The following is a 9,955-nucleotide window of genomic DNA, read 5'->3' on the forward strand; positions in this document are numbered from 1 at the left end:
CTCCCGGTCATAGCATTCATCAGTCTGGTCTCAAATTCAAGTTAGGGAAAAAAAGTCAAAACTGTTTCTAACGTCAGAAATATATTGTGTTCCAAAGAAAATAACTTCCTGTCTGATTTACTAATACTGCAATTTTTGGAAATCAAAATGATTCAAAGTAAAATATTTTGTTAAAGCAATTTGGTCAATTTACTCTTCAGAGGAAGTCACGCTTTAAAATCCCAAAATGCTAGTAAGAAACTTATAGTCCAACATTAGCCAGAATTTCTAGGATTTTGTGACTTTTGGCTTGGCATTGCAACACCTTTTATGTCAGTGTGAGCAATTTCCTAATTCCCAATTCTTATACTAAAAAATAACATTTAAAATATGCATGAAAATAGTTATTCACTGGAAATTCATAATGAGATTTAATGAATTAGTGGCAAAAAATCAACTCTAAGACATATTTTTTTCTTATTTTTTTCTTTTGATCTTTGTTTTGTCGATGTGGTGAGGGCACTGGTGGTAGTGGTGGTGTACTTGTGTGTTTGTCTTTTAAGTTCATGAACATTGCCTGGGATACTTGTCAAATGTTAGGTCTTCCCTATTTTTTCAAGCAGTGACAAGGAAGGAAAAAGACGGTTTTGAATGTCTAGGAAATACAAAAATCACACATATACAAATATATTACAATTATTCCTATTAAAACGGCAATCCTGAGGTTCTACTATATATTAAATGAGAATTAAATATATTATGAAGTAATACAGAAGACAGTATCTGCTGAAAAATACAAGTTATGAAGGTAATGTTGATCAGAAATTATATATCAAACAAGCATTATTTAGCACAGTATTAGAAATCTAACTTACATAAAAGACTTTTGTAGTATAGAAATGCCTTCTCAAAGTTATTTAAAATATCTAACATTAAAATATACATACATATATATATATATATATATATATATCTTTCCTTAGCCCAGAAGAAATTTTTGAAGAAAGCAATGAAGACTTCCTGTTTCTGAAAAACTTAAGGCTTTTAGAAACATTTAAAACTTTAATTCTTATCTTTTTTTATCCTATGTAGCAACTCTTGTTGTCAACAAAAACTTTTCTAACGTTTGCACAGTTGGACAACAGATAACTAGCTGCCCCATCCACACAAGAGGTGGGGAAGAGAAGCCCAGCTATGATTATTTGAAATCTAGCTCAGTACAGACTAAGTCAAGGTTCATTGATTTAGTCCTCAAACAGATATAATCTGAAATGAGCAGCAAGGAAAATTAGATAATTGGCAAAAGGAAGAAAAATATTCCTGGCATTTCAAAGCAAAGGTGAAGCAACCCTGGAGCAAAGTCATTCCCTGGATGATAGTACTTCTTCATTGGACTACCAGCTCAATTTAGGAGACAGACTGCATTCACATTGCAAAGTAAACTCAGCAGTTGCTGGTGTTTTTTCCTTTTTCTTTGCATACATGCAAGTTACTCTATCCTCCACTTAAACTCTTATTGCCTTCCTTATACTGAAACACTTGATATGCTTAACCTGATAATAATTATTGCAATTATATAGCATTTCTTAAAGGTAATACAAAGAATGGTGAATATAAAAAATAAAATCTTGGAAAAAACATTTGAAAAGGCCTAACCTAAGCCAAATACTAAATCATATAATTAAAGGCTTCTCTAGTTAGAAAAAATCAATTTAGAATGACATACACACACTGTTAACATTCAACGCAGTGTAATGTAATCAGATTTTTCCATTGTCATTTATCTCCAACAATCTCTATGTCACAAAAACTATGTAATTTGGTTAATACATTAGTTATATGTATTTTTTCTTTTAATATCAAGTGCCTTGCCGGATTCTGAACATTCTTTTGAACAGTTTGAATTCAAAGACAGAAAATATCGTTGATATCATTCTAACTTTCCCTAAGAATAACCCAGAAATAATTTCCCACATAGGAGGCAGCCAATTCAAAATTGTAAAGTTTAAAAAAATACAGGAGTTAATGACAATAAACAGCCCCATTCTTTTCTCTTTAAGATCTACTTGTAAGGTAAAGAACACCGTAAAATTAAAAAGTTGTTATCATTATCCATCACCAAGTGCTCATAGACTGTTCGCTGTTGAACTAAGAAATTATGTGAGGTTGTGTGAGAAATGTAAGATATCGTCACTGATTTTAAGGAGTTCGTAGTTGACTTGAGGGAGATAAAAGTAAAATTAAGGAGTAATTAAACTCTGCCTCATGCAGTGGTTATTGTAAGTACACTAGATGTTCGAAGAGCAAAGGTGGAAGGAATACTCTATTCTGGCTTTGTCAGAATAAGCTTTTTCAAAGACAGGACTTTGAATTTGCCTTGAAGAAAGTGAGGGATATAGAAAGTGGTTTCAAGTTGAATATGTTGGAAGTCTCTTTTACCCTTGATATTACTGTGGTCCCAAAGATAGGAGTGAATGGATTGAGGTTCTCAATAACTTAAAATGTGGTTTCTGGGAAATATAATAAAGTGGTTACCCAGATTGTGGAAAGCCACTGTGGGGTGTTTGCCAGCAACTGTGAAGAAAGTGGTTTGTAATCTGGAAACTATTAAAAATTACTGGGGCACGTTCTCTGGTGTTTAACTGCCAATTCTGGATTTTCTATTACTTAACTCATTCTCTGGGAGAGAGATTTTTTTTTTTTTAATCAGCCTCAAAGAATAAATGTGAAGCTCAAGAAATAATGAGCATAAAAGTGTTTTGAACGCCACAAACTCTTTGGAATGTTTTCATTCATATTATATTAATCTGTGGTACAATGACTAAAATAGGATTGATTTTGACAGGGAGTAAACTTTTCAGGCCATCAGGATGCAAATGGCATTGGAAGAATTTTTCCCTTATTGTTGGGAACAAAAATAACACAGAGCTTTTCTCTACCAGCTGGACACAGTGCAGGTAACACAAATGGTTTTCCTTTAAACTAGTGAAAAGGGAGCAATGACTTTTAAAGTCCTATGTCTGTCGTAGTTCTTCATGCTTTCCATCTTAACCTCAGGGGATCTTTGCATCATTCATGTTCCCTCCTGTATTTTTACAAGGCCAACATCAGAGAATGCCTAGATAGAAGCCAGACATGGACAATGACCCAGGCTGATTTTCATGGGAAGCCAGGAAAAGCGACACATTGCTTCCTGATTAGGTTGGGTAACCCAACAACTCACTTTTATTGGGGACTTTCTATTACTTGCTTATCAACTGCAGAAATATTTTTTCTTCTTACATTCTATAAATAATCCTTTGTGAATTGATTCAGAGTGCAAAGCAGGTAAGACATGTGTACTTATAAGACCATCAGGAGGAACTGGCAATCTTGTCTCATGATTCCTCTCTGATTTTACCATTTGGTGCCAAAAACAAATTCATATGTTCATTTATGTTTAAAATGGCTTATTCAGAACTAACCCACATACAGACAGGGAGAGAGAGTTTAAAAGTCAATAACCTATGTCATCTCTAAACTTTTTTTTAAACAAAGCCTTATACTGTGGTTTATTCCCTGTGGTTAAGTTGAATTAATTGCCTAGGAGCTGAGTCACATTTTTGAAGTTTTGTCTTAGCCATTTCAGCAAGGCTTATCTTTTGTCTTTAGACACATTCTAATCTTTAAAATGTCAATATGCTAAATCTGCAGGCTGTTTTCTACAGATTACCACTCCCCAAAAAGATGAAGGATTCCATTTGCTGAGTCAGGTATGATGTTGATGGTGTCAGGAAGCTGTGAGAACTTCTCATTTAGCTTCCCACAAACTGAAGGCCAAACCACCCAGCCTTCCTCAGCCAATGAATTTCTTGTTTCCTTCCAGAATCAAAATTGTAAAGGTCTGTGACACCTCTTTCTTGCTCACCAATGGAGGTGACAGGAGAGGAAGTTAATAAAATTCCCCAGTGTCACAAGGGACAAGGAAAAGAGTTGTGTTCCATAACTGGCTTCTCAATGCCGTCATGTTTACTGATGACCTTTGCTGGCCTGCACTGAGGACAAAGTTCTTCAGAACCAGCCAGAAGAGGATCTAGTTAGACTTCTGTGAAAGAAAGTCTATGTGCCATTCCAGTGCCGTACTCATGCCTGCCATGGAGCAAGACGGTGGAAGACACTTAAACCTTCAGTGCTTTAACTCCTCCACGGATAACAAAGAAGGAGAGAGGGAGAAGCTGGAAGCTACTTCACCCTTCAATTTCAGGAGGCAGTGCAGGGCTCACTGGGGACTAGAACAGGTCTGCAGAAACAGCCTTGGTCACCAGTAATCATGAAATTAGATGGTTCCAGAAGCCTATGGGGAGAATTCCTCCCCCCATGAGGTTGTTTGGGGGAAAACAGACTGGGTGCTATTATGCTGCCCAATTGATGCAAATCTCTAGAAGAAGCTTTCACATGAGCCCCTCAAATTCATCAACCTCCTACAGCATCTCCAAATGGTGTCAAAAACACACCTGGGGGTGGGACCAGAGCTGGGGCAGGCCCGGGCTCCCTGGCAAACTTCAGTCTATGCTCACCATACTACACTTCACTCCCAATAAGACCAAAACCTCTTCCAATTCAATAGCATAGCAACCGCCAAAAGTACATTTTATCTTCCATGGCAATTTGCTGGGTGATTTTTGTTTGAAGATATTTTTGTTTATTAAACTGCCTCAACACACATATGCTTGCTAAACTACAAGTATACAATTTCTAATAAACAGATTTCACTTTGGGGCCAATTCAGGCAACTTGTTGACTTCAGGTGGGGATAGAGCCTCTTTCATCACGTTATCTTGGCTTCTAAAGCTGTTTGAAATCCAGATAATCAAAAAGTCATTCAAGAAACCTAGAATGACCTGCCTGCAAGAAGAGGAAGGACTCTCAGTTTAGGGCAATAATCATGAATAACATTTCCTGAATAATAGTAATAATAATTAGAAAGGATTGACTTTCAGAAATTTTTCTCAAGTCAAAGCTTCCACTACTATGGTTCCAACTTTTCTCTCTTTTTTTTAATTTTATTATTATTATACTTTAAGTTTTAGGGTACATGTGCACAATGTGCAGGTTAGTTACATATCTATACATGTGCCATGCTGGTGTGCTGCACCCATTAACTCGTCATTTAGCATTAGGTACATCTCCTAATGCTATCCCTCCCCCCTCCCCCCAGCCCACAACAGTCCCCAGAGTGTGATGTTCCCCTTCCTGTGTCCATGTGTTCTCCTTGTTCAATTCCCACCTATGAGTGAGAACATGCGGTGTTTGGTTTTTTGTCCTTGCGATAGTTTACTGAGAATGATGATTTCCAATTTCATCCACGTCCCTACAAAGGACATGAACTCATCCTTTTTTATGGCTGCATAGTATTCCATGGTGTATATGTGCCACATTTTCTTAATCCAGTCTATCATTGTTGGACATTTGGGTTGGTTCCAAGTCTTTGCTATTGTGAATAGTGCTGCAATAAACATTCGTGTGCATGTGTCTTTATAGCAGCATGATTTATAGTCCTTTGGGTATATACCCAGTAATGGGACGGCTGGGTCAAATGGTATTTGTAGTTCTAGATCCCTGAGGAATCGCCACACTGACTTCCACACTGGTTGAACTAGTTTACAGTCCCACCAACAGTGTAAAAGTGTTCCCATTTCTCCACATCCTCTCCAGCACCTGTTGTTTCCTGACTTTTTAATGATTGCCATTCTAACTGGTGTGAGATGGTATCTCATTGTGGTTTTGATTTGCATTTCTCTGATGGCCAGTGATGGTGAGCATTGTTTCATGTGTTTTTTGGCTGCATAAATGTCTTGAGAAGTGTCTGTTCATGTCCTTCATCCACTTTTTGATGGGGTTGTTTGTTTTTTTGTTGTAAATTTGTTTGAGTTCATTGTAGGTTCTGGATATTAGCCCTTTGTCAGATGAGTAGGTCGCGAAAATTTTCTCCCATTTTGTAGGTTGCCTGTTCACTCTGATGGTAGTTTCTTTTGCTGTGCAGAAGCTCTTGAGTTTAATTAGATCCCATTTGTCAATTTTGGCTTTTGTTGCCATTGCTTTTGGTGTTTTATACATGAAGACCTTGCCCATGCCTATGTCCTGAATGGGTAATGCCTAGGTTTTCTTCTAGGGTTTTTATGGTTTCAGGTCTAACGTTTAAGTCTTTAATCCATCTTGAATTAATTTTTGTATAAGGTGTAAGGAAGGGATCCAGTTTCAGCTTTCTACATATGGCTAGCCAGTTTTCCCAGCACCATTTATTAAATAGGGAATCCTTTCCCTATTGCTTGTTTTTCTCAGGTTTGTCAAAGATCAGATAGTTGTAGATATGCGGCATTATTTCTGAGGGCTCTGTTCTGTTCCATTGATCTATATCTCTGTTTTGGTACCAGTACCATGCTGTTTTGGTTACTGTAGCCTTGTAGTATAGTTTGAAGTCAGGTAGCGTGATGCCTCCAGCTTGGTTCTTTTGGCTTAGGATTGACTTGGCCATGCGGGCTCTTTTTTGGTTCCATATGAACTTTCAAGTAGTTTTTTCCAATTCTGTGAAGAAAGTCATTGGTAGCTTGATGGGGATGGTATTGAATCTATAAGTTACCTTGGGCAGTATGGCCATATTCACGATATTGATTTTTCCTACCCATGAGCATGGAATATTCTTCCATTTGTTTGTATCCTCTTTTATTTCATTGAGCAGTGGTTTGTAGTTCTCCTTGAAGAGGTCCTTCATGTCCCTTGTAAGTTGGATTCCTAGGTATTTTATTCTCTTTGAAGCAATTGTGAATGGGAGTTCACTCATGATTTGGCTCTCTGTTTGTTTGTTATTGGTGTATAAGAATGCTTGTGATTTTTGTGCATTGATTTTGTATCCTGAGACTTTGCTGAAGTTGCTTATCAGCTTAAGGAGATTTTGGGCTGAGACCATGTCTCTGTTTGTTTGTTATTGGTGTATAAGAATGCTTGTGATTTTTGTGCATTGATTTTGTATCCTGAGACTTTGCTGAAGTTGCTTATCAGCTTAAGGAGATTTTGGGCTGAGACCATGGGGTTTTCTAGATATACAATTATGTAATTTGCAAATAGGGACAATTTGACTTCCTCTTTTCCTAATTGAATACCCTTTATTTCCTTCTCCTGCCTAATTGTCCTGGCCATTGGAGAGGAGGAGCATCTCCCAGACAGCTGCGTGCCTCAGAGAAGCCAGCCTCGCTAACCCCTCAAGCCCAGGGGATGAGACCCTGCTGAATCGCTGCTCTATTTTGGCTGGAGCCACAGCTCCCTCCACCGCGGGGCGGGGCTAAAATGTCCTCCCCCTTAAGGGAGCAGGCAGCTCCTCCCAGCCACCCACCCCACCAATTCCCATCCTCCCGCCCCCCTCCACCAACCCCTTCTTTCCACACTGCCCCCTGAGTTCAGGGAATTTCCCCAGCATCCCAAAGCTTGAGTTTCCTGCCAGTCGGGAGGGATGAATGCAGATAAAGGGAGTGCAGAAGGCACGAGGAAACCAAAGTGCTCTGTATCCTCCAGTCTCCGCGCCTCCACCCAGCTCAGGAACCCGCGAACCCTCTCTTGACCACTATGAGCCTCCCGTCCAGCCGCGCGGCCCGTGTCCCGGGTCCTTCGGGCTCCTTGTGCGCGCTGCTCGCGCTGCTGCTCCTGCTGACGCCGCCGGGGCCCCTCGCCAGCGGTGAGAGCTCCTGGCACTGGGGTGCATCCCAGCCTCTGCGGGGCCGCTGCGTTCCAGGGAACTCTCCCAGCAACCTGCCCTATAAAAATGTCTTTCTTCCCCAGCTGGTCCTGTCTCTGCTGTGCTGACAGAGCTGCGTTGCACTTGTTTACGCGTTACGCTGAGAGTAAACCCCAAAACGATTGGTAAACTGCAGGTGTTCCCCGCAGGCCCGCAGTGCTCCAAGGTGGAAGTGGTGTAAGTTCTCCTGTGTTGCTGTGTCCACTGTGACTTAGGCAAGTCCTCCAGCCTGGGTCGTCAACCTTTGTGGCTCATGGGTGCATCCTCTTTTTCTTTACTTCAGAGCCTCCCTGAAGAACGGGAAGCAAGTTTGTCTGGACCCGGAAGCCCCTTTTCTAAAGAAAGTCATCCAGAAAATTTTGGACAGGTATTTGTCCCTTTGATCTTTGTGGTGTTTTAATATCTTCTATGGAAAGCATATACTTCACAATGTCCTTATTCTCTCTGTAGGATTTAGACTATGCTTAGAATTATAAGGTTGTTAAGAAGAATAAGGAAACTTTTTTTCTGGAATGTTCTGGGTAAACCTTTATCACCAATCTTACATGCCTGAACAATTACACAGAGCTCATTACTGACATCTATTTTTTGTCTGCTCTTTGCTTTTATTGATTTTTTTCCCCCACCAAACGCTTTTGAAAACCAAATGTAGCATACAAGAGTGTGGGAATTGGTTATACTAATATAACTCTTTTCTCAACAGTGGAAACAAGAAAAACTGAGTAACAAAAAAGACCATGCATCATAAAATTGCCCAGTCTTCAGCGGAGCAGTTTTCTGGAGATCCCTGGACCCAGTAAGAATAAGAAGGAAGGGTTGGTTTTTTTCCATTTTCTACATGGATTCCCTACTTTGAAGAGTGTGGGGGAAAGCCTACGCTTCTCCCTGAAGTTTACAGCTCAGCTAATGAAGTACTAATATAGTATTTCCACTATTTACTGTTATTTTACCTGATAAGTTATTGAACCCTTTGGCAATTGACCATATTGTGAGCAAAGAATCACTGGTTATTAGTCTTTCAATGAATATTGAATTGAAGATAACTATTGTATTTCTATCATACATTCCTTAAAGTCTTACCGAAAAGGCTGTGGATTTCGTATGGAAATAATGTTTTATTAGTGTGCTGTTGAGGGAGGTATCCTGTTGTTCTTACTCACTCTTCTCATAAAATAGGAAATATTTTAGTTCTGTTTCTTGGGGAATATGTTACTCTTTACCCTAGGATGCTATTTAAGTTGTACTGTATTAGAACACTGGGTGTGTCATACCGTTATCTGTGCAGAATATATTTCCTTATTCAGAATTTCTAAAAATTTAAGTTCTGTAAGGGCTAATATATTCTCTTCCTATGGTTTTAGACGTTTGATGTCTTCTTAGTATGGCATAATGTCATGATTTACTCATTAAACTTTGATTTTGTATGCTATTTTTTCACTATAGGATGACTATAATTCTGGTCACTAAATATACACTTTAGATAGATGAAGAAGCCCAAAAACAGATAAATTCCTGATTGCTAATTTACATAGAAATGTATTCTCTTGGTTTTTTAAATAAAAGCAAAATTAACAATGATCTGTGCTCTGAAAGTTTTGAAAATATATTTGAACAATTTGAATATAAATTCATCATTTAGTCCTCAAAATATATATAGCATTGCTAAGATTTTCAGATATCTATTGTGGATCTTTTAAAGGTTTTGACCATTTTGTTATGAGGAATTATACATGTATCACATTCACTATATTAAAATTGCACTTTTATTTTTTCCTGTGTGTCATGTTGGTTTTTGGTACTTGTATTGTCATTTGGAGAAACAATAAAAGATTTCTAAACCACTGATGTTGTTTCTCCTTCTTATACAGTTACTATTTATCTTTAATTCTACATTATTCAAAATATTACCTCTGCTCTTCTCTGGCTGGCAGAGAGGGCCCTCATTCCCCAATACCATTGCATTGGTTCAACTTTTCTCCATGTTCAGCCCCCTTCCAGTTACTCCTTCACAGCACCAATAGCCTCTGGGGTCTTTAGAAAACACAAATAGGATAAGATTTTCCTATCTAAATTCTTAAATGGCTCCCTGTTTCCTAGACATGAAATAAAAGTTGCTAAACATGATGAATGAGGTTCTGTCTCATCTCACTCCTGATCATCAGTACTTCAACTTCCCTTGTGCCTCACATTCACTATAGTCAGGCGTTC

General features: G+C 38.6%; 1 protein-coding gene across 1 annotated transcript, besides 2 other annotated features; it reads left to right on the top strand.

The window, feature by feature from the left end:
• Nucleotides 3,580–3,874: a silencer, noted in NCBI's record as "tiled region #12152; K562 Repressive DNase matched - State 5:Enh". NCBI's record gives its function as "represses a minimal TATA promoter and a strong SV40 promoter by Sharpr-MPRA in K562 cells {active_cell/tissue: K562}" and the evidence as "EXISTENCE:reporter gene assay evidence [ECO:0000049][PMID:27701403]".
• Nucleotides 7,480–7,774: a silencer, noted in NCBI's record as "tiled region #152; HepG2 Repressive non-DNase unmatched - State 22:ReprW, and K562 Repressive non-DNase unmatched - State 23:Low". NCBI's record gives its function as "represses a minimal TATA promoter and a strong SV40 promoter by Sharpr-MPRA in HepG2 and K562 cells {active_cell/tissue: HepG2 | K562}" and the evidence as "EXISTENCE:reporter gene assay evidence [ECO:0000049][PMID:27701403]".
• Nucleotides 7,506–9,588, top strand: CXCL6 (C-X-C motif chemokine ligand 6). Its single transcript, NM_002993.4, has 4 exons — nt 7,506–7,687; nt 7,792–7,924; nt 8,031–8,114; nt 8,451–9,588. The coding sequence occupies exons 1-4, from the start codon at nt 7,579–7,581 to the stop codon at nt 8,467–8,469; spliced, it is 345 nt and encodes a 114-aa protein (NP_002984.1). The 5' UTR covers nt 7,506–7,578; the 3' UTR covers nt 8,470–9,588.
• The last annotated feature ends 367 nt before the right edge of the window (nt 9,589–9,955 follow it).

This window comes from Homo sapiens, chromosome 4 (assembly GCF_000001405.40).
Source record: "Homo sapiens chromosome 4, GRCh38.p14 Primary Assembly".
Lineage (NCBI taxonomy): Eukaryota > Metazoa > Chordata > Mammalia > Primates > Hominidae > Homo > Homo sapiens.